At 40.0% G+C, this 25,815-nt stretch overlaps 1 protein-coding gene across 5 annotated transcripts in view; it reads left to right on the top strand.

Annotated features, from left to right (window-relative positions):
* SLC25A21 (solute carrier family 25 member 21) overlaps positions 1–25,815 on the top strand; it is a 494,686-nt gene that overhangs the window by 447,233 nt on the left and 21,638 nt on the right. For all 5 annotated transcript variants that reach the window (XM_047431871.1, NM_001171170.2, NM_030631.4 and 2 more), the window contains one exon: positions 13,892–14,056. In XM_047431871.1, the coding sequence (XP_047287827.1) occupies positions 13,892–14,056 (165 nt within the window). The remainder of the gene's footprint in view (positions 1–13,891; positions 14,057–25,815) is intronic.

The following is a 25,815-nucleotide window of genomic DNA, read 5'->3' as shown; positions in this document are numbered from 1 at the left end:
CCTCCCTCGTAGCTGGGATTACAGGCATGCACCACCACACCCAGCTAATTTTGTATATTTTTTGTAGAGACAGGGTTTCTCCATGTTGGTCAGGCTGGTCTCGAACTCCTGACATCAGGTGATCCACCTGCCTTGGCCTCCCAGAGTGCTGGGATTGCAGGCGTGAGCCACCACGCCCAGCCATAAAAACTTATTTTTAATGTGCATGTGAAACAATGGGCACAACTTTTATCCACTTATTAAAGGAATAGCAAATCACTGTTAAGGAAATAGCGTAAGAAAAAATCAAGTATCTCCTGCAAGTAAAGTGTTAACAAAAATGCACTGAGATCTAATGGACAAACACTTGTTTATTGTTTATTCATTTTTTATTTTAGAGCTCTAATATAATCTGAAGTGACTTATTTGGAAATATTCTCCCAGCTGCTGGCAAAACTTCTTTTCAATTGCTCTAGAATGGACTATAGCTAAACCACTGAGGTGATAACATTATTTTGCTTTAAAAAAAAAACTGAGTCATTTTTTTAAAAAATGACCTCACTCCTTTCCCCACTACACCCACCACCCATCCTGGAAGATTCTGATAATCTGTCAAATTTGTCTTTTGGTTGAATCTGAATGAGCACTTGGACAATGACGGGTCTTGACATTTCATCATTGGTACATGACGTATTGTGCAGACAGCATTCCTTGGTGTGTGCTGCCTTCACTTCCTTCCAGTTACCTAAGAATTCCCTTTCAACTGCCAAATCCAGCTGTTCTTGTTTTATTCTTTTGGGTGCCAGGCACAAGGTAGGAGGAAAACAAGGGGATTGGCATTCCAGGTCCCTTCTTAGCTTTTTAATTTAATTCCACAACTAGGTAGCATGTGGTAGAAATTGGTTTGGAGTATCTGCTGACCTGATCTTTCTGTAGGAAAGTTTCCCTGCCTACTGCATAAGCAGCTGCTAATGGGTGGAGACCCCCTCACTCCCACCCCACTTCCTGCCTGCTGATGCTGCCTGAGAGCTTCCTGGCAGTTTCTCAGGCAGGGGTATGGGGAAGGAGGGGGGCCCTACTCACCTTTAGCTGCCAAGACCTGAGGGGACAGGGTTGGGCTGTTACAGTAGATGGTATCTACTCAGATGAAGTCAGTCCTAATTCAGGGGGAATTTTTTTTACATTTCAAAAGATTGTCTTAAATACAGTAATATATAGCATCTTATAAAAAGTTGAAAATCTCTGTATTCTAGTTTTCGTTTCTCTTTACTCTTTCTTGAATAAACGAAAAAGATGGTGCGGAACAGGGGGAGGGGAAAAGAAACATTTTTCAAATGGCTTATTAATATGGAGCATTTAAAACAGTTCCCATGGAATCTGCTTAAGGAAAACTTGGTTTGTAGGACTGGGAGAATTACCAGTTAGAAGAAAATTGCAGAGATCCCTGTCCGGTGTTCCCATCTTACCCCTTGGGAAGCTTGTCTTGAAGCAGCAGTGAGTAGGCAAAGGAATAAACAGGACTTGAGCTGCAATTCTTTATCTAGGCAGCATGTAACCACAAGGACTCAAATGGGACAGAGCATCAAGGGGCACTTGCAGGAATGAAAGTCATGAGTTATCAGGGCACCTCGGCTCATGCTAATGTTCTTTTTCTCTCCATTGCCCTCAAGGAGGCTCTGCACTGAGGCCAAGTAAGAGCTGCTAATGTTTTGTATGTGCTAATGACTTGCAAGAATGCAATAAACACCCTTCCTGCCCAACAAAAGAATGTGCTGCATGTGTACATGCTTCCAGTTCATCACTTACACAAATGCAGTCGGTGTAAATTATGTATATTTAGCCATTTTTTAAAGCAGGGGCCAGGGGATAGTGGGAGCTTGTTCGGGGTCATTTCTTTTGCATTATCCACTGAACTGGACATTATCAGGTATTTACTTAGAATAAAATCAATTAGATGCATTATAAAATATTTTAAAAGTGACTTTATTTAGAATTTAGCAAAGTAGTGATTACATAGGTAACATGCATCAGCATTTATTTACAGCAACTAGCAGAATTCAGTAGCTGAAATGAGGTGGTGTTTTGATGTGGCACATTATGGGCAATGTTCATCAAATTGAAGCCATAGGTGCTTTTACTCAACAGACAGTAATGGGATTGTGACTATTGTAGAAAATGTCTGAGAAAAAGAGATGACGTGATAAGAATAGAACATTCGGATATTGCTGGTCATTTTTGCTAGTATCTTATAGGTCTTTTATCTAGGACTCAATAATGCCGAAGCCTTCTTCATTGACTAGCTCCTTCTTTTATCCAACAAGGGGATAGATAACCTTTAGTTAACCTGTGCCTGTGTTGATTTAACTCAAATATTAGGTATGCTCACCTCGGCATGTGTATGGCCAGGAATACTTCTTGCTTTCTTCACTCTAAGGCTTTGTGGGTTGTTAAGTATAAAAGGGAGATGTAGAGGAAGAGGAAGAAGAGGAGGAAGAGAAGTGGAAGAAGAAAAGAATTAATTTAATGTCCACTGCCTTTAAAGATTTGACTTAAAAAAATTAATCCAAGCATAAAAGTAATGCATATTTATGTTATAAAGCACCAAAATATATATGTATTTCTTAAATATGTGTGTATAAGTGCACTAAAAATGATCTAGACTCTAGAGCAGTGCTATCTAATAGAAATATGTGAGCCACATTTTTAGTAGCTACATTTAAAAAATAAAAAGAAACAGGTGAAATTAATTTAATAATATATTTTATTTAACCCAGTATATTCATTTTTCTTGACTATTTTTAGAGCAATTTTAGGTGCACAGCAAAACTGAGCAAGAGGTAGAGACTTCCTATGAACCCCATGCCCCGACACATGCATCATCTTCCCCATGATCAACATCCCCCATCAGAGCAGTCCATTTGTTTTAACTGATGAACCTACATTAACATGTCATTATCACCCAAGTCCATAGTTTACATTAGGGCTCACTCTTGGTGCTGTACCTTCTATGAGTTTGAACAAATGTATAATGACATATATTCACCATTATAGTATCATACAGAGTAATTTCACTGCCCTGAAAATCCTCTGTGTTCTGCCGATTCATCCCTCCCCTCCCCACTTAATCCCTGGCAACCACTGATCTTTTTACTGTCTCTATAATTTCTCATTTCAGTGTGTAATTGATATAAAAATTATATGAGATATTTGCATTCTTCTTTTATACTAAATTTAAAAATCTGGTGTATATTTTGTGTTAACAGCACATCTCAACTAGGACATTTCAGGTGCTCAATGGCCACGTGGGTAGTAACTTCCAACATGTGGGTAGTAACTTTCATATAGGGTAGTTCAGGTCTATAGGAATTCATACTGAAATTCATACCTCTGGAGAGGAGACTGGAATAGAGGAGGAGAAGGTGAGAGTTTAAGAGAAGGGCTTTGTGATGTTGAATGTTTTAACATGAGAATGCATTCATGTTTTGTCTGTGAACATTTACTTTCAAAAGTAATGTATGCTCATCGTAGAAAATTTAGAAAATATAGAACAGTTTAAAGAAAAGTATGTTATCCAAAGGAAATGCTTCTAATGGCTCTGCCAAGATCAAGCCCTGCCTTCAGGGAAGACCTTCTCAACTGATCAGGTGGGAATGACTTGCTGGCCCATCTTGGAGCTCAACCTTGCATAATTCAGGTGCCATGATTTCATTTATAGGAGCAGAACCCATATTTTTTCCTACTCTGTAATTTCTAACAGAGTTTAAACTTTGTTTGCCAATTACTGAAGAGCATATACAATCAGAGCTGTGTAGAACAGGAAGAACAATCTTGTGGGGAGAGACACACTGAAGTTCTCATTACACTTTTTACCATTATCCAACAGTGTGGCCTTGAATAGCGTACCTGCAGTTCCCTCATTGGTAAAATGGTAGTGATCAGTCCATCTCCTTACAGCAAGGCATCTGTGTAGTGGTTGGAAGCACAAGACCTGGAGGGAGATCTTAGTTATTGACTATGTGACAGCCTCACATTTCCTACCCTGACCCTAGCCCAGTTTCCTCATTTGTTAGGAAAAAATAATAGTAATAGCCATGTCAAACAGTCAAATGAGGGTTAAGTGAGACTATATAAAGCTGTCAGTATGGCCTGGCATGCAGTGATGGTTCAGTAAATGTTAGTCATTATTATTACAACATGATTGTTATGAGAATTTTAATGTGTTAATATATGCAAAGGTCTTAACATGGAGCCTGGCAAATGGTAGGCATTCAACCAATGATAACTATTTCTAGATGCAAGGTGATCTTACAAATGCGTAAGTTTAAGTAGAGACAGATTTATTTTGAGATATTGCTCCAATTAATATTGAGCAGTCACAGCTGACTCCAGTTGTGGGCACCAGCACAGCTCACTGAGCAAGGGTCTTCTCCCTCAGTGTGCCTTAGGTCATTATCAGATGCCACTGCCATCCATTCAGCCTGAATTCCTTATCAAGGCTTACGGACTGGCAGCCTGCTTACAGTGCCTGTTGATAAGGTCTTTAAACTCAGATAAGGGCCCATTATCATAAATAGCAGTAGCTGGATATCTGTTTACTGTAAATAACTAGCACTTAGCAGCAGAAGTTAGAGATGAAACAGAACATTTGAGGCCACTTTGGGAAGAATTCTACCACAATCAAGAGATTTCTTCCTCTGGAATAGCTGTATAAAGTTAACATGAATTCTCGATTAAGCCTTCTTAATCACTTCACATGGAAGGTTATGAACTAAGCTCATTTTCAGCCTTTTCAGTCAGCTCCTAGTTGTGGTGGAACACCAAATGGATGGGCTACATGCAGAATGGCCAACTGGCTTGACAACACCTTTAAGAAAAGCAGAGCAGGTACCCCATAGATGCTTATTTTACAGATAGGTAGCTCTTGTCCTGCCAGTTGGGAGAATTTCTCAGGCAGCATGTCTGCTGTTCAACCTGTCTACCCTAATGTCTTGGACATAAACCACCATGGTGTCCTACACAGCATATTTTGGGTTTTCCTATTTCTTCAGCCTAAGGTGGTGAGTCCGTGGGGTCTTTTAGACATGAAATTTCCTAACAACTTCCAGCAAGAAGTTGCTGCAGCTGAGAGGGGCACTGCAGCAGAGGACAGTCGAGGACAACAGTAGCCAATATGACACTTAATATAATACTGAAAGTCTTCTGGGTAAGGGGAGAGACAGCGATGGAACAAAGGAACTGCTACAGTTCCAGGTGCAGAGAGCATGGTCTAGAAGAAGGTGTGGGATGTAGGTGGATGTCCCTTTGGCCATGTGGGGTGGGCCTGGCTGGCAGAGGGCCAGAATGGTGCCCTCTGAAGCACAGGGTCCAGATCAAGGGCCCCTGTAGCCGGGATCCAAGTGCAGCACGGCACAGAGCTGAAGTTCCTTCTGTTAGGTTCATGGCAGCCGAATAATAGGAACTGGAGTCCTGGAGCTGCAAGTGGAGTTCCCATCAAGAACGACAGGTACTGTGCACGCTCCAGCTGCCCCGGGCTCTCCTCTCTGATCCTGTACCCAGTCAGAAGTATGTTACCCACAAAATATGCCTCCTGCCCAGTTTAGCCATAAACTGTTTTTAAAAAATGTGAATTTAAAATGTGGTGAATTTAGTTCCTGATACTGCCCTCATATACTTCCAACTTATGTATAAAATATTTTAATAGGTGTGCTTGTCTTGCCTACACTTCTTAAATTACCACCATATTAGTCAAAGACTATAATCCTTGCCACCCTTCCTCCAACTCTAATACCAGTGTCTTGGCCAGTGTCTTAAACTTCACAGTGAATAAAGAAAACCAGTCTGTAATTTAAATATGCTTGACCTTCTGTGGGGAGCAAAGTAATCATAGCTTTGTCATGCTCTGGTTTGGTTCACTGGGTGTAAAAACATGTGTGGATAAAATTGGGATAGACCCAAATTTCCCCCCATCCTTCAAACTAAACCCAGGCAAAGAGTTGTTCTGATCTGTTGTCTCTTTGGCTTGGGACTAAGCTTGCCCAAGGATTTCCCTATTGGAGATGGTTTGCATACCCAGTCTTGCCAATGTGACTTTGTAGCTTGCTGTCCTTACAGGACCTCCCCAAACTGGGTGCATTGGTTTTTATCTGTATATTTATAAGAACTAGAAGTCCCCTATCAGTTGTGCTAAGGCAAGTGATGTTTGGCTGGCATGCTCTCTGCTAGCCTGGAAAATGTGAATTTCTCCCCAGAAGCAAAATCTTGTATGAATTGTTTCCCAGTTTTCCTCTCCACTTTGAAATCTACTTCAAAGTTATTATTTGGCTAAAGGGTTATGTTTTCCTTCCCTTGAGGTCTATAGGATTTGCCTCTGATGTGTGGCTGGGGCACAGGTTTTCCTTCTACTCTGTCATTTTTTATCTACGTTACATATGAACATAATCATTCTCACCCCAAATATGAACCTAAACCTATAGGAAACTGTAAAAGCCTGTTTTACCTCCATTTCTTCTTTAAAGATGTTCAGCCCAAAAAAGAAATAATTAGTGTTCTATCTTGCTCTGATTATAATTTTAAGGATCAACAAACAGATAGCAAATGTGTAACTGATGGGAAAATCTTTAAAGATAGGGATTTTTTAAAAAATTAGCTCAGGGTTTGGTTCTAGTTTGGGATAACACCAATAAATATAGCTCTACACACTTTATCCTGGGAACTTAATAATCTAATAGAGACCAATTAGATCGTGTATGATATCACAAAGCTTAGTATGTTCTCCATAGAAGATCAACAAATGTTTAAACTTATATTACATAGAGTCAACTTTATGTTGATAAAGTAAATTGAAGGGCTGTATTTTGTGATCATCTCTTTTGAGAGAGAGAGAGAAGTTGAGTTATACAGAGAGTGAGCGTGTGGCTCTGTTTACAGATAGTGGGAGAAGCCAGCTTCAAGGGCATGTCAACATTCATGATGATGTATTGGGTTAAGTTCAAATTTTTCCTGCATTACTGTGTAAAACACTGTCTGGCAACAATTCAGGACAGAAATTATTTCTTTCCAGTCTATGATTCCTGTGGGCAGAAAAGAAAATTATGCATATGAATCCATTCCTATAGTTATCTTTCAATAATATCTAAAGCAGCAGCCAAGTTGTCTCTCTATTATCATTTACAGAAAATAGACTTGTCTTCCATTCAACTGTGCCAGGAACCCTAGATTTTTGTTTTCAGAATCAAGACTTTGAAATAATGATAATAGCTACCATTTACAGAATATCTACTATATATCAGACACTCTGCAAGTTGCCTTATGTGAGTTTTTCCCTTTATTTGATTTTTAAAAATATTAATATAATTTTGTAAATTATTAACATAATACTTTTTTAACAAATCAAGTAAGACAGAGCTATATAAAGAAAAATTAGTTGATTTTTGCCAACATCTCCCTCTAACCCTATCCCACTGGTCGCCACTGTGAACCCTTCCATTTTTCCTGACGCTCACACTCAGTTGATATTTCAAATCCTCTCTTTATAAGGTTGATGGCTTTATCCACATTTTATAAGGTAGAGAAAATAAAGCCCAAAAAAGTTAGCTCTAAGAAACTGAACACTAACATAGATGTCTCTTTCTAGTCAACCACACTGTTTTCATTGGGATAAAGAAATCTAGATAATTAAGAAGCTCAAGGGAAAAGCAAAAGAAAGTGTTTATGAGACCATGAAGAAGCAACACCTCCTCTTTGTTGCCAGTCTTTCCTGAGTCGTAACCCATGTGGCCACAGCACTGTCACCTTTCTTCCTCCCAGCTCTGCCATTGGTGCAAGGGCAAGGCACAGCATGAGCGTCTCATCACCTGCAGGGTGCCGTGCTCCTCCAGGGCTGGCTATTGAATAGCAATTTGATATTGACATAGCTTTGTGGTTCGGTATCTGGGAGGGGTTTTTGACAGCAAATTCTTCTCCACTCACCGGTTGTTTGCAAATAGACCTGTTCATACAACATACACTCTGGATAGACTCTAACTATATCTGCGTATCTTTTTTGTTCATAATCATGCCCTATTAAAACAAACTGTAATGATGAATTTGTGAAATATCTAAGCTAAAAGAACTATAAATGTGGACTTTTTAAGCCTGATTCTTTTCCTTTCACTTACATTTTGTTCTCAAATAAAAGGAAGATTTTTCTATGATTTTTAAATTTTTCAAATGTATGAAAATGCTTCAAGACCTCATTTGAGTAATGAAAAGTATGGATGATTTTCATTTCCTGAAGAACAAGCATATTTTCCTACCTTGGTGGAGCAACTGGGTCCCCTCTTTTTAAACAAAGCAGTGTTTTTCTGAAGGCCCAGATATGGACACTCACTCCATTGTGTAGTCTCATCCGGTTTGCTTTCCAGCTATGTGATGAAATCCGGTACAACACCCGTATTCCATTGGCTTTCAAATGCAACCCGTTCACCTTTCCATAGGAATGCATGTGGAGCGTGCTTTCTTTTGACATGCTGTGCCTAGAACTCTTCTTTGGCCTTAGAGATGGAGGAAATCCACTGACACACCCAAGCCTGTACCCACTGGCCATACTCTGACTGGTATTTACCCAGGGAACAATGCCTGCTGCCTAAAATCCTGCCTGTGATCTCATGAGCTAATCAGAGCCAGGTATCGTCAGTAGTCAGATGGAAGAACTCCAGAAAAAATAGTTGGGGCTGCCACAGGTCATCTCAGTGATTCGTTGGTAGTACTGGGCTCTCAGAAAGTAAGGACTCAGTGCCCCAGAGTGGTGCCTGGGAGCTTCATTTACACCAAGGATCTTCTCTCTCTCTTTTTAACATTTTTTGTATTTTAAAATATATTTTATTAGATATATTTGAGGTTTACAACATGGTGTTACAGGATACAGACAGTAAAATGGTTACTATAGAAAAGCAGATTAACATATGTATCATCTCACATAGTGACTATTTTTGTGTGTGGCAAGAGCAGCTAAAATTTACTTATTTAACAAAAATCCCTAAAACAGTACAACACAATTTTATTAACTCTAGTCCTCATGTTGGACATTAGATCTCTAGGCTTGTTCATCCTGCTGACGCTTTGCACCCTTCCACCTGCATCTCCCCACCTCTCCCCACTCCTCGCATCACCCCTGGTAACCACTGTTTTATTCTATCTACATGTATATTTGACCTTTTTTGTTTTGGATTCTACATATAAGTGATCATATGATATTTTTCTTTCAGTGTTTGGCTTATTTCACTTAGGATCTGCTTATTTATTTATTTATTTATTTATTATTTTTGAGACAGAGTCTCACTCTGTCTCCCAGGCTGGAGTGCAGTGGCACGATCTCTGCTCAATGCAACCTCCACCTCCTGGGTTCAAGGGATTCTTCTGCCTCAGCCTCCCAAGTAGCTGGGACTACAGGCCCGCACCACCATGCCCAGCTACTTTTTGTATTATTAGTAGAGACAGGGTTTCACCACATTGGCCAGCTGGTCTCGCACTCCTGACCTCATGATCCACACTCCTTGGCCTCCCAAAGTGCTGGAATTACAGGTATGAGCTGCTGTGCCCAGCCAAGGATCTGCTTTTTTAATTAAACCTCTTAATAACTTTTTAAGCAGATATTTGATTCCATTTCCCATAACCATTATAGAATACTCTCATAGGTAAATATAAAAATTATCAGCATATCCCTTCATGTAAAAATTAAAGCAAAAAATATTTGTTAAGTCTCATCCCAATCCACTTATTCTTCCATGCTTTTCAGATTGGGTGCAGTCAATGAAGGTACAACCAGGAAAGTTAGAGTGCAATTTGGCCCACAATTGGTAACTAAATATGAAAATTGGAGTGAATCTAAATAATACAAGGAAACTGAGCTAGTGGGTGACCTGCTGGATTAGATAGTATTGGAATCATTTGGCTGATGATGCTAATCAGTTACCATTTTGCTTTTAAATGGAAGCCCCATAATCAAATAAGTTTAGTAAAATTCCATGTGTTTACAGATATCTAGTCAAAATTATTCTATATTTTCCTATTTAAGCATCCTAGTGGAAGTCATGTTTTGCCTTTCTAATTAAATATTTGCTTACATATGTGTGAAACAATGTCCCTGAATGAAGAAAGAAAACACACTATCATACTATTACTTCTTATTTTTATAGGCAATTGAGTTCTGGTTTTCTTTATCCCAAGGCCTCCATTTGCCAGAAAAATATATTTGTACTATTATGCATCTGTTACTTATATCAGTTGGATTGTCAAACTCTGAAACTCTTATTACCTATGTACAATAAGAATGAGTGTGTAAAGAACAACATTGGATTAGATGCAGAATTCTGCTTAAGCCATTTATCAGCAGCATTTTATCTTAGGCATGTTGCCTAACAATCTTTGGTTTCCTCACCTGAAAAATGAGATATACCAGCTGCCCACATTACAAGGTTGCTGAGAGAAGCAATCAGATATGTTAGGATGGCAGAACCACCAAGAGTGTAAAAGTACAGATTTGGAGTCCAAGGAACCTCAGTTGGAACTCTGTTGTTACCACTTACTCTGTAATCTTGGGTGAGTAACTTAACTTCTAACTCTTAGTTTCCTTATCTGCCAAATAGGGATCATGATAAGACATATCTCACACAATTACTGAGAGGATTAAATGACACCAAAAAGTACTGAGCACGTATGATAATGGCTAAAGGTGTTGAGCACTTCCTGTGTTCCAGCTACCTGATCACGTATACAAATGTGTTTTCTAGGCTGGAAAGCCATATAGAGGGGGAAGCCCAATTCATGTGCTTTTCCATTGCCAGCCTTTCTTCCCGTATGGCCTTACTTCTACAGCCCACAGACTTGCCATATGCAGAGATCTTAGCCAGGGTACTCACCTTGAGGGATAAGGAAGAGGCCAATTTATAGGATTTACTGCTCCAGAGAGGAAAGCTCCTGGGTGAGGCACTGTACCTGGAACAAGATCTCTACCCCAAGCATTGAATTTGGTTGGGTCTCAGAGGAAGCAGACCTGTTATCTTGCATTCTGCATGCATTTCTGGTGGACTTTATCACAAAGGTCTGGGACTCTGGGAAAAGGAAAGGACAGCCAGAAGGAATGAAGAAAAAAAGAAGCTTTCTCTCCCTCAAATCAGATTCCAGCTTTTGGTTGCCACTGCCTTCAACTAACAAAGAAATCACCTGTCATTTTATTGTTATAACTATTTTTATGATTGTCAGCATAATTGCCATTATCGTTAACACCTAAATGTATAGTGAATGCTTAGAATGGACTAAGTTGTTTACAGTGGACTAAGTTCATTGACTTCTTTCAACAATCTCAACAATCCTGTGAGGAAGATTTTTTTTTCTTTTTTTGTTTTGAGATAGGGTCTTGCTTTCACTCTGTCATCCAGGCTGGAGCCTGTCACTATGCAGTGACAGGATAACAGTTCACTGCAGCCTCACCTTCCAGGCCTCAAGTGATCCTCCTGCGTCAGCCTCCTTAGTCAGCCTCCTGAGTAACTGGGATCACAGGCTTGCCACAGCACCTGGCTAATTTTTTAATTTTTTGTAGAGACTGGGTCTTACTATGTTGTTCAGGCTGGTCTTGAACTCCTGGGCTCAAGCACTCCTCCTGCCTCCGCCTCCCAAAATGCTGAGATTACAGGTTTGAGCCACTGCAGAAGCCACTGACCTCCGGAAGATTCTATCATTATCCTTATTTAGAAATTTAGAAATTAATAAAGTGAGAATCAATCAGAGAGGATAAAATACTTGCCAAAGTAGCAAGTGGTATTGCTGAGACTCAAACTTGGAACTGTCTAGCTCTGAGCTCCTATTTCCAATTACTATGCTACTCTCCAATTAATTACTGACAACTAGAGTCCGAACTCAACAAAGCACTTGAGTTTAAAATGATGCATTACATTTGCTTATACACACACAGCACCCAAGCCAGTGAAAATCAGGAAACAGACAATTAGCAAATGCCACTTGAATATTTGTCAGCTCTCACCGAGATCTAGGAGAAATCTCTTTTCAAGATGATGAGAAAGATGCTATCCAAATTAATCCTTAGTTTAGTCATCCTAATTCTAATGACTTAGCAAACTAAGATTTTTAAACAATAGAAACATCTTTATACCCATGTTTTTAGGGAAAGCCATTGTCATTTGCACTTTATTTTAGAGCCGTTGGTTTCTCTGCTGCTCTAAAACTTAGATGGCCTCGGAGCTCCTCCGCCCTCATGCCCTCAAGACCTCAGAGGAGTGAGGATGGAGAAAAGGTTTAGGTTGGGTGCAGGGAGAACCTGTGTTAGTCAGGCAGCCTCACCTCTGTCCTGTTCCTCCCACCCCCAGGAAAGCTGCCCTCTCCTTCCCCCACCTCTAGACTGCCTTCCTTGAAGCAAGATAGCAGTACTTGGGCAGTTTACTCAGCACTTCCAGGGTCTTTCCAACAAAAATGAGTTTCTGCTCAACTTGTCCTATCTCTTTTGAAAACCAAAAAATAATGATTTGGGGGTGAAAGTCAATGTGCTGAAACACAAAAAAATCTCATGTTGTCAAACAGAAAGTAAACTTTAACCTTCAGAAAATTTTTTGGTTTTCCTGTATGATATGTCTTATTGTTTTAAGATGTATTCTACCATGGTTTTTTCATATTACAAAGGAGGGTTTTCTTAAGCTTATTGTAATTGATTGTAATTAGTTCCCTTAAATTAATGGATGAAGTTGAGTGTAGAATTGTAGCTAGAGTCTTCAAAACATTTATCAGCAAAGACTATAGGATTTACTATATAAACAAGCTCATTTAAATGTTTCACATTAATTACATAGCTATTATAAATGCAGATGGGAAGAAAAGCCTTGATGGGATTTGTTCTATTCTATTCTGCTGATGTAGCCTTAATTGCACATGATAAGAAAATACTTTTAGTCTGAAAGTGTGCCAGACTGCCACAACCACGCTAACAACCTGCTTTAGTGAAATATCAAACAAATGTCATGTCAGTGTGTGCCTCATGGGTGGAAAAAAAAAAAAAGCACTGAACAGTTTCCCCTGTTAACTATTCAGTGAAAATATGAGAGAGATATCTTTTGTACAGTGCCTTCAAAAAAGAAACAACCACTCATACATTTTTTTTTAAACCCATGTGAATTGTAATTGTATTGTAATGAATTGTAAATCTCAGGGTAACAGCAGTGAGCTCTTCAGCCAGACTGGATTCTAGCAGTCAGGACATTTCAGCCTTGGGTAATCAATCAGGGGACTGGAAAGGAGTAATTTCAAGGTGGTAACCAAGTACTCCCAACACCATTTATGTAGAATTTATCACAGCAGTGATACGCACACTGATTGCATATCTGCTTGAGGACGTGTACAATCAACAGCTATTTATTTATGGCCAATTTATAACATAGTGCCAGGTTCAACCATTGAGGCAATTGAATCAAAACTGTAACATTAGCTTTAGAAAAACATAATTAGAAAGGTAAATACACTAGATTCAGGAGCCAAATATAAATTCCTTTTGGATAATGTATAGTTATGGATTACCAAATATCTATATGGTTAATCTCCTTCATTAGTGTGAATAATCCAGAATTGGATGTAATTACTTACATGTTGAAAGTGATGATAGTTATTATACAACATCAGTTTCACTAATCCTATCAAAATCGTTTGTTCTTTGCCAACAATCTTTTCTATAAAGCCTGTTTTTATGCATGCAATTTTGTTTGCTTCTTGGGTTTGCTGATTTTAAAAAACACAGTTCTAGGCATGATTATTCATATCTGGGGGAAAAAAGTCCCTAATAATTCTGGCTTGAAGGGAAGTTAATACGGTAATTTACTGTATTCCACAGTCCCAAAGATGATCATTCTGGCCTTGCTTCTCTCTTCTGCAGCAACCATCCACTGTGGGTTATGCAAGACAAATCATTAAGAAGGAAGGCTGGGGACTCCAGGGCCTCAACAAAGGATTAACTGCAACTTTGGGACGACATGGAGTTTTCAACATGGTTTATTTTGGCTTCTACTACAATGTCAAAAACATGATTCCTGTCAATAAGGTAACTATTTAATAAATTAAAATCCTGGAGGAAAAATCCTATCAGTGATGATAGCTCCGTTTGTAGAATGTTTATCCTGTCCTGGTCACTGTGCTGGACACCTACATCTATTATCTAATTTGATCCTTACATCTGCATTGAGTGCTGTTATCCCTGCTTCAAATCCAGAAGTGGAGTCTTAGAAAGATCAAGGAAATTGCCCAGCTCACATAGTAGACAGTAAAGTTGAGGACTGAACCCAAGTCTGACACCAAAATTTATCTTCTTGAAGAAGCTATTTTTACACCTGAGTGCTTTCCCTTTATTACTAAAAGGAATTTCTAGAAACTATGTTATTACTTAATTTTTATCTCAGGAGCATAACTTTCTCAAGAAAGTTGAAAGCTTTGTATTTTAAAAAACTTTTGAACTCACAAGGAAAAATTGTTGGCCTAAAATTTAAATTTCACCTGGATATTAATTTTTAATCTAGGTTAATTAGGGTAGTTAATCAATTCTTCTAGAATCATTTGCTTTTGAGGCAAAATAACAATGATGATAATTATTATCATCATCTTCAATATTATTATTTTGAAATGATAGTTTATAGGCTGGGTGCAGTGGCTTATGCCTGTAACCCCAGCACTTTGAGAGGCAAAGGCAGGAGGATTGCTTGATGCCAGGAGTTTTGAAACCAGCCTGGGCAACACAATGGGACCTCTCTCTACAAAAAATTAAAAAATTACCCAGGCATGATGGTGTGCACTTATAGTGAAGCTACTCGGGAGGCTGAGGTGGGAGGAGCGCTTGAGCCCAGGAGTTCAAGACTGCAGTGAGCTATGATTGCGCCACTGCACTCCAGCCTGGCAACAGAGTAAGACCCTGTTTCTTTCTTTTTCTTTCTTTCTTTCTTTCTTTTTTTTCCCCGTTTCCTTTTTTTTCTTTTCTTTTCTTTTTTTTTCTTGGAGACAGAGTTTCACTCTTGTCACCCAGGCTGGAGTACAATGGTGCAATCTCAGTTCACTGCAACCTCCGCCTCCGGAGTTCAAGCAATTCTCCTGCACCAGCCTCCTGAGTGGCTGAGATTACAGGTGCCCACCACCGCACCCAGCTAATTTTTTTTTTATTTTGGCACCATGATGACCAGGCTGGTCTCAAACTCCTGACCTCAGGCAACCCACCCGCCTCAGCCTCCCAAAGTGCCAGGATTACAGGCATGAGCCACCACGCCCAGCCAAGTAAGACCTTATTTCTAAATAATCATAATAATAACGTTTTTTAATGGTAACTTACAGATGCAAGCAGCCTTTTTCAACGTCTACAATATAAAAGTAGCACAGGATGTGCTTTTAAGCCATAGTATCACAGAATTTTTCCCTACCATCAAATTGCTTGCTTGCAGTTAAAACTGCAGTCCTGGATGTACCAGTTGGGGTAACATTTTTCACGAGCAGGCAGTTTCCCTTAGAGGTCCAGTTCTTCATTTTTCTTAGTAGAAAAGTATTGAAGGGCTTTTTTTTTTAGTCATAAAACTATTTCTAGTATGGCTAACCAGACTCTTCAGTAAAGTTAGTTGTACCTGTTTTTGCCCAGCTATCCCCTATATTCTAGTAAAGGCCAGGACTTTTCTCAAATGACAGCTGAATCTACACCATGTGTTCCACATTAACCACCTGTTGGCATTGCTTCACTTCACTAACCAAAGTTGTTAACCAGGTTTCCCTGTATTTGGAAATCTCATTTATTGAGTAGAAGCTTATGTTTTTTTGGTCTGAAATCCTTGATTGGCCACAGTGTATATAGACCCCCCTAGTGACTGACAATTCTGACTCCAGGGACCCTCAGAGCTCTTCTCTTGTCAAGATATAGAAAATGAGTGCAATAAACACTGTGGTTCTGGATGACACGAAGGAGCTCTCAATACACTGAGATTTTTTTTAGAGGAACCTGCTAAATAATTTGTAAGGCCCAGAAAAGAATGCAAATGCAGAGCCCTTTGTTCAGAAATTATTAAGAATTTGAAGACAGTGACAGTAGAACATTAAATCAATCATGGGGCTCGTCTCTTCTAAATGCAGGCCCCACACAACAGCACTGTCACACACCCATGAAACCAGCTCTGTTTTTCAGACTGTAAGACAACCACTCCACAAAAATACAAAAATTAGCTGGGCATCATGGCACATGCCTGTAATCCCAGCTACTCGGGAGGCTGAGGCAGGAGAATTGCTTGAACTTGGGAGGTGGAGGCTGCAGTGAGCCGAGCTGGCGCCATTGCACTCCAGCCTGGGCAACAGAGCGAGCCTCCATCTCAAAAAAACAAAAAAAAAAAGATTAATCAGATATATGTATGGTCATATGCTAAAAAAGAAAATCCACAAGCACAAACTTTATTCTACAATTAATCAATACACTTAAGTTATTAAATGTTCTCAATTGTTTAAAAAAAAAACCTGAGCTGGCACAGTGGCTCAAGCCTGTCATCCCAGCACTTCGGGAGGCTGAGTCAGGAGGATTGCTTGAGGCCAAGAGTTGAGACAGGCCTGGGGAACATAGTGAGACCTCATCGCTACAAAAAAAAAAAAAAAAAAAAACTAACGTTAGCCAGGTGTGATTGTGCACATCTGTAGTCCCAACTACTCTGCAGGCTGAGGCAAGAGGATTGCTTGAGGCTAAGAGTTCAAGACCAGCCTGGGCAACTTAGTGAGACCCTGTCTCTACAAAATTTTAAAAATTAGCCAGGTGCTGTGGTGAGTGCCTGTGGTCCCAGATGCCTGCAAGGCTGAGGTGGAAAGATTGCTTGAGCCTGGAAGGGCAAGACTGCAGTGAACCATGACCATGGCACTGCACTCCAGCCTGCATGACAGGGAAAGATCTTATTTTAAAAAAAAATGTTGACATGTGTCTGCCCAATTTTTTGTAATGATATTCAGTGAAATGTCAACCAGCACTCTTCCAAACAAATTATCTATTAGATAGCACTTCCCACATCTAGATTATACTAGTAAATAAGTGATTCATTTATTAATCAGGACTCTGAAAACTATCTCTAAATCTTTAAATAAAAGATACATTTTGTTCATCATAGTTTTATAATTAATTTTTTATGTTGTTATAAGTTTTACCAAGCTGAGAACCTGTGACTAGATTACCTCATTTCCTCACTCCCATCCAAAGTATCCTACAGTAGGGAGTTTAGTGAAATATGATTTGTCATTATTTTATTTTATTTTCATTTATTTGGTTAGTTTTTTTGAAACAGTGTTTCACTGGAGCCTCCACCTTTTGGGCTCAAATGATCCTCCCACCTCAGACTGCTGAGTAGCTGGGACTACAGACATGCGCCACCACACTCAGCTAATTTTTTTATTTTTCTGTAGAAATTGGGATCTCCCTTTGTTGCCCAGGCTAGTCTTGAACTCCTGTGCTTCAGTGATCCTCCCACCTCAGCCTTCCAAAGTGCTGGGATTATGGGCATGAGCAACCATGCCTGGCTTTCATTATTTTAAAAAGTGAAAGTTGAATAAATTCCACTGTAATCTTCTCTGTACAGTAGTGTTGCACCACTGAAGAATGCTAATGCATTGCTTTCTATATATTTGACTATTAACAATTGTAAATCACAAACTTCCTTTGACAGTGCTAACATGTGCCATGTGGCTCAGAATTTCATTTCCAAGCTTTAGCCTCCAAGCTAAAAGCACTGATTCCTTTGCCAAATGAATTCTCTATTAGATAGCACTTCCCATGCCCAGATTATACTAGTAAATATATACTAGATTGTACTAGTAAATAAGTGATTCATTTATTAATCAGGACCCCGATTTAATGATCTAGGCACTGGGGCTCCTTAGGTTGGGGGCTGGGAGGAATGCTGTGCGTAAAATGTGGGGTCAACAGGTCTGAGTATGACTCCTGGCTTTCAGTCATCATTGAACCCATATTTATTGAGTGTCTAACATGTGCCAAGCACCAGGAGATGCAATAATGAGAAGCTGTCCCAGCACTTACAAGGCAATGGAGGTAACAGACAAAAACAAGTAAACAAACAAACTCACATTTAGGAGCGTAAAGGAGAAATTCCCCCAGTATAAACCTGATGGTCAGGGAAGGCTTCCCTGAGGAAGTGACATTTGAGCTGAAGAATGAGTTAGAAATTAGCAAGGGACAGCAAATGGGCAAAAACATTCCAGACACTGGAGCATCTAGCGCAAAGGCTCTAGGAGAGAGAGAGCTGGGTACCTTGGATAAAATGAAAAACAGCCCAAGTGATGGAAGCAAAAAGGTGAAGGCAAGAATGTTGCTAGAGAGACACAAGGGGATCAGATCATACTGGCCCTTGTAGGCCACACTAAGGATTCTTATCTTCATCTAAGATTCTTATCTTCATCATTTGGAAGCTGACAAATGATTTTAAGCAGAGGAACAGCCTGATGACTCTGGTTGCAGTGGTGACTCTGGATGGGGTGGGGATGGGAGGGAGAGGCAGAATGTGTGCATGGAAATGACTGCAATACAAAGTGGTGGGGTCTTGGACTATAGCGTCCATGGGGGAGACAGGGAGAAGTGGGCTGATTTGAGAAGTATTCCAAAGGCAGAATCTGCAGGATGTGGTGATGGACCGTATGTGCGTGTTGAGAAAAGTAGGGGGTTCAGAAGGATGCCTAGGTTTTTGGCTTGAGCAACTGAAACAATTGTGGCACCATTCACTGGGAAAGAAAACAACTGAAAGAGGAATGGGCTTATGGAGGAATATTACGGGCTCTGCCTGGAAACTCTGAGTCTAACTGCATTTGGGACTGCAAAGTGCCGACGTTAAGTCCGTGGGTTGGATGTGGGTCCTGTGGCTTGTGAGGAAAAAGCTGAGCTGGAGATAGATGTTTAGAAGTCATCGGTCTACCTCAATGAGAAGTGAAGTCTTGTCCCTTACTGGTGGAATGACCTTGAGCCCATCACTTCACTGCTCAGAGCTTCAGTTTTTGGAATCTGTAAATTGAAAAACAATGTTTTCCTATCTGATAAGATTGTTTTGAAGATTAAAACAAATAATATGCAAAGTAATTTGTGAATGTTAAGGTGGCATAAAAGTGTGAAGTGAGATGGTCCCGATGATGTGATGAGGGAAGGAGTAGTGGAGCTCGTTAGTATGCAGAATTGCAGGAGGAATTTTTTCCCCCGAACTATTCCTTGTGTACTTAAATGAACACTGGTGGGTGTTTTGTTTTGTTTTTTTCTTGGCCTAGAACAAAGTCATTGATTTTATGTGTTCTGTAATCTAAGCCTGATTCAAAACTGGGAAACCAGTATTCTTTAAATTTAAAACATAATAAATCAATCCTTTGTGAAGGGGAAGGTATGATAATCATTAAAACATGTTGAAGAACGTCATCAAGTTGTTATAAACCCTGATGAGGAGGTGGTGTTCCTTGAAGGCCTTATTTCGTCTTTGCTGTAGGCTGTCTCTGGCCATTCACTTTGGACAATTTGTTTACAGGGTTATTGTTTCAATTCCCTTACCCAGCAATTGGTCATTCTGTTGTTCCAAGGAAATCTGAGATTTCACGCACTCTGACTGGCATGGGATAATTCTAGATTTTTCTTTAATTTAAAAAAAATCTATAAATGTCTTACAGTGTTTTTCATCTTCAAAGTACTTGGTTTTACAAGAAACTGTTCATAATGTTTTTCTCTGGGGAGTGGAAATGGGGAATTGTGTGTGTGTGAGAGAGAGACAGAGACAGAGGCAGAGACAGAGAGAGATTAAGTGGGAGAAAGTGAGCAGCGGTGGAGGGAAAGTATTTATTCTTTATATTAATACCATTCTAAGCTGTGGAGAGCTTTTACATTTTGTATGCATTAACTTTATAATAGGAAGTAAATCACTGAAAAATGTAGCAGAACCTCATAAAATAGATCACCTAGTTTACATTTTCACATTTACTTAATTCTAAGGCTATGTTTGCGGACGTAAAATAGGAACTTAAAACAGTAAGCCGCCGGACGCAGTGGCTCACACCTGTAATCCCAGCACTTTGGGAGGCTGAGGCGGGTGGATCACGAGGTCGGGAGATTGAGACCATCCTGACTAACACAGTGAAGCCCTGTCTCTACTAAAAATACAAAAAAAAAAATTAACCAGGCATGGTGGCGGGCGCCAGTAGTCCCAGCTACTTGGGAGGCTAAGGCAGGAAAATGGTGTGAACCCGGGAGGCGGAGCTTGCAGTGAGCAGAGATTGCACCCAGCCTGGGCGACAGAGTGAGATCCGTCTCAAAAAAAAAATAACGGTAAGCCCCGGTAACTCAGGTCAGCTATCCAACCTTGAAGTTCTTGACGTTTTAACTTCAGATTAGTGATCTATGGTACATATATTTTTTAAGTTATCACAGAAAAATATCCCGACTTTCTGTGGCACTTTATGCTATTAAAATCATTTTTATAGACTCCATGATTTTGCCTGATCCTTGTCACAATAACTGCCATTTTCAGATAAGGAAACCTAACAGGAAGTTACGGCCCAGAGATGAGTTACTGAAGTAATTCACCTGAAGCCATATGACAGGGGTGGGGAAAGAACCAGAGACCGGAACTCTTTCGACTGTATCATGTAATGCTTTCACTCTACATTTTACCTTGTTTTTTTTGTTTGTTTTTGTTTTCTCTTTTTTGTTTTTTTTTTTTTTTGAGACGGAGTCTCGCTCTGTTGCCCAGGCTGGAGTGCAGTGGCACTATCTTGGCTCACTGCAACCTCCGCCTCCCGGGTTCAAGCGATTCTCCTGCCTCAGCCTCCTGAGTAGCTGGGATTACAGGTGCGCACCAACATGCCTAGCTAATTTTTATATTTTTAGTAGAGACAGGGTTTCACCGTGTTGGTCAGGCTGGTCTCGAACTCCTGACCTCATGATCCACCCACCTCACCGTCCCAGAATGCTGGGATTACAGGCGTTAGCCACCGCACCCAGTCTTACCTTGTATTTTGTCACACATAAATTATCTCTTTAAAAGTGGTTACTAAAATTTAAATAAATGAAGTGTCTGAAATGTCCAGATAACGTAACCGGATTCTCTGGATTCTCTTTCTGCCATGCTCAGACCCATAACCTGATCCTCCCTTTCGTATCCTCGGTCTGTAATCCATAGAAACACCGAATTATGAGACACGGCCCTGGAAGAATGGGTCATTACCAGTTTGAAAATGATGCCCTATGTTATGTTCTTTCAGATTTATTTTTAGGAGCTAGCTGTTCCTATTGAAGGGTGAATAAGTGACTACAATAGAGGAAAGACTGCTTTGGATATTGACTGACCATGGAATTCACTTAATGGAGGCATTCATTTACATCTTGTAGTAAATGGAATGGAGTGTCAGGATAAAGAATTATACTTTCTCCCCAGAAACAGGCCATCACTTCTCAAAGTAAAGCACACTAGAAACAGATACTGATTAACTTAAATGCTGACATCTTTTTCGAATATCCATGGGAATAAACTCTCATTGCAAAAACAGTTTCTTTCATTACCATTCCAAGTTGGGGATGTTTAGAGTGTATTATTTGTGATGTTGACATGCAAATAAAAATCATTAAAATACTACATGTCATGAATAATTTTGTCTTCTAGTTCCATATTTACTTCTTTTCATATGTTTCCATAAATAAAATAATAGTGGAAACAGCTGTCTAAAGCTAATGGCTGTCAACAGTATTAAATGGTGCTTTCAGTTTGCATCCTAATTAAGGATGTTTGCAGGTTATTTTGCAGAAAACAATAGACCTTTTGTGTTGAATTTTGCCATGATATAAATTACATGTGTGGGTTAGAAATATTTTAAAAGAGAACAATTTTTCAAATGTTCAATCTTTCTTATTTAATAAACCATTTAGACCTGTCCCTGTGGTCATTCACCACAGACAGCATTAAGTCAAACATATTTATTTTCTTCCAAGGTAAATTCTGTAGAATGTCTGAGGGTGGTGCCAGACCCACTTCATTTTATCAGAAGAAATGTGGAAATGTGTTAGTTTCATGATTGAGAGCTACATCCTCCCCTAAGGTGTGCCCTGAGCTGAATGAAAAATGCACCTTTGGGTTCAAGGGGAGAACTTAGACAGAGCTGTTTATATTTTGAAAAGAAGAATCTCAATAGAATTAGAGCATAGTATGATTTAATTTATGACCATTTAATTTTCTGATTCTCTCTTACTCCATCATTAGTCTTACCAATCATCCGGTAATGGGAAGGGCAGGAACATTAAAGTTTCATTAAGAAAAACTCTCCTTTCTAGAAACCACTGGGGAAAAACTACAAGTACCTATTATCTATAAAATTCCAGGATATGTGACAATATTCTGTGGTAAAAAGGGGTATCTTTCATTGGCAGTTTGCACAGACTCCCTAGTGGGGATATGTAGCGGGGAGGGGGTATGGGAGAGGGCAGAGAGCAGAGAGCCAGGGGTTCAAATACTTCCTTAAATAAATTTCAGGCCAGTCAGACACTCCCCAAGTGGATGGAAATGAGGTGCAAGTAGCTTTAGGTTCTCAGTGGGTCTATTCTATTCATTCATTCCAAAAGTATTCATGGTGCATCTACTGTATGTTGGGCACCCTCTTAGGAAGCATCAGCATTGCTCCTCTCTTAATGACGTTTACAGTCTAATAGAGGAAATAGACAATAAACAAATCATTGCACAAGGAACTGAATCATTCCAATTGTGCTAAGTGCCATGCAAGATAACTATCAAGCTGTGAGAATTTATAAACAAGTATTCTAATCTAGACCCATGATGGGGCAGGGAGATGGTGTAGGGAAGTCCGTTTTCTTTTTTTTTCTTTTTCTTTCTTTCTTTTTTTTTTTTTTTTTTTTTGTGGAGACAGGATCTCCCTGTGTTGCCCAGACTGATCTCCAACTCCTGGGCTCAAGTGATCCTCCTGCCTCGGCCTACCAAAGTGCTGGGATTACAGGGATGAGCCACCGAACCTGGCTAGAAAGGTCTTTTTTGGAAACAATGTTTGGGCTTGGGCTGAAGGATGAGGACAAACCACGCCAACCTGAAGAGGTTGAATGAACCAGGCAGAAAGAACAGGAATGTGACTATCCTGAAGCAGAAAGAAACTCAGGGACCCCAGAGAAGATTAAGAATGAGTGTTGCTGGTGCATGGAGAACCAGTAGAGAAGGAGAAATGGAGGCTGCAGAGGTTAGCTTGACCAGAATGTTTTAGGCACATAATATAAAGGCAACTTACTCCCCTTAAATTATTTAACTGGGGGTTATATGGAACAGACATATTACATAAGTGGAACTAAATGGACATGGGAAAGTTTCATGTATGGAAGTTCACAGGTATAATCTCATTGAACTAGCTTGGTTCAAAGACTTCTTCTTGATTATCTCTCTACCTCCATGTTGAAGCATCTCAGTGTGCTCCCTCTGGTTTCTCAATCTCTAGAGTTTTGTTTTGGGAACCTGGCTTGCTAGTTTTCCTTGGGGTCAGTGCCTTTATTGAGTCAAGGAACAGAGAGAACACACTACAACAGAAATATCCTGCTGGGTTCCCAAGGAAATATATAAATACTTTCCTGTATTCTATATAATACTCAATACATAATTAATTCCTAGGTGGTATTATCTAACCACCTGAATATATAGGTATATACAATACATATTATATCTGTGAAATATATACAGGAGATGATATAATCAAGAGATAACTATTATGCCTAAACCATAATCCATTTTGACATTATATATATGTATATTTTATAATTTGAGCTAAGTGGGTAAAACCTTTAAAATTATTCTACATTTTACAATACTTTAAAGAACAGACAACTTAGAGGAAAAAAAGGAATTTTCATGGCTATTTTCTGAATGGCTACATTTAGATGCAGAGGTTTTAACAAGACTTTGATTTCATTCCAAAGCCCAGAGCCCTGCAAGGATAGGATCTTAGGAATACTCCACATTCCTTAAAGAATGCTTATCAGTTGAAGCATCTCATTTTAGTTAGTGACCTTCTGTGGAGTGGGGAGCTAGCATTTCCCTAAATTATCTCGCATGAAGAGAAAACAAACACTGTAATAGATTCCTCTGATAGCAGTGAAGTAAAAACAAATGTATTTTTTAATTAAGCTTCAATAGCAGATATTTTCACTGGGGACAAAATAGCAGGATACCATGACATTGGGAGGAAAATGTTTTTGTCAAAGTTTATGAACAAAACAACAAAAGAGAGCCAAGATTAGAAGGAATGAAAGTTGTATAGTGAGAGCTGACTCTACTTGTAAGCTGACTTGGACCTATTAGAACTAACAATAGCTAAAATGCAAATTTCCTCTTAAAAAAAAGGCAGTTCACTCTCACTTAAGCTGCCTCCTTGTTCAGTTACCAGGAGGCAACTATGATTCCAATGCACCACATCATTTTCATGACCACCATACCCAGCTGTGGGCAAGACAATGATGAGCTGCTATTATTTGCCTTGCGGTTGCTACCAGGTGCTTAACCAGTGTGTGTATCTGCCTCCTTTGTAATTTGCTTCTGAAACCTTGGTTCTTTGTTTATTATGTTTTATTAAAGGAAGCTAAGGCATTTATTACATACCTATGATGTGTCAGGCTCAGTAAATACACAAGAGGAGGGTGACATGGCATATCCCTTTTCTTTAGATATTTTGAACAAGTCTTCAAAAAGAGTGTGAGAGCCTGTTGCCTGTCTCCACTAACTCCTTTCAAAGGCCTGACCCTAGGCAATCTGACCCCAGGGCCCATGCTCTTAATCATTGTACTCTACATACTTCTTCAAATATGTGGACACATGACCCTTTGGGTCTTTCTTTCTTCAGAGTATACCCACAGCTGCCCATTCACTCTTCTGGTGACATGGCTTCCAGTCCTCTGAGCAGCCCATCTGTCCTACTATAGTGCATCACATTTGTCCATATCAATGTCAGATCTAAACAGAATACTGCAGTTTTTCATTGATCAAATGCAGAGTACACTAGGATCAAGCATTCCTGTGACATGAACACACACCTTTCTTAAATGCAGCCAAAGACTGTGCACAAATAGATTGTGGGGGATTTGTTGGAAGAAGGGGATGGAAAGGAAGGGAGGAAGAATGTGTTTTATTTTTACATCAAGAAGTTGGCATGGTCTGGGCACAGTGACTCATGCCTGTAATCCTCGCACTTTGGGAGGCTGTGGTAGGAGGATAGCTTGAGGTGGTATTGTATTAAATTTTGGTGGAACTTGGTGGGGTGTTCCAAGATGGCCGAATAGGAACAGCTCCAGTCTGCACTCCCATTGTGATCAACTCAGAAGACGGGTGATTTCTGCATTTCCAACTGAGGCACCTGGTTCATCTCACTGGGACTGGTTGGACAGTGGGTGCAGCCCACGGAGGGTGAACTGAAGCAGGACAGGGAGTCGCCTCACCCGGGAAGTGCAAGGGGTTGGGAGATTTCCCTTTCCTAGCCAAGGGAAGCCGTGACAGACTATCTGGAAAAACGGGGCACTCCCGCCCAAATACTGCACTTTTCCCAAGGTCTTAGCAACCTGCAGACAAGGTGATTCTCCCCCATTCCTGGCTCGGTGGGTCCCACGCCCACAAAGCCTTGCTCACTGTTAGTGCAGCAGTCTGAGATCGATCTGCAAGGTGGCAGCCTGGCTGGGGGAGGGACATCCACCATCGCTTAGGCTTGAGTAGGTAAACAAAGCGGCCAGGAAGCTTGAACTGGGTGGAGCCCACCACAGCTCAACGAGGCCTCCTGCCTCTAGACTCC

This window comes from Homo sapiens, chromosome 14 (assembly GCF_000001405.40).
Source record: "Homo sapiens chromosome 14, GRCh38.p14 Primary Assembly".
Classification (NCBI taxonomy): Eukaryota; Metazoa; Chordata; class Mammalia; order Primates; family Hominidae; genus Homo; species Homo sapiens.
The sequence above is the reverse complement of the archived record's forward strand: the minus strand, read 5'-3'. Positions and strand labels throughout refer to the sequence as shown.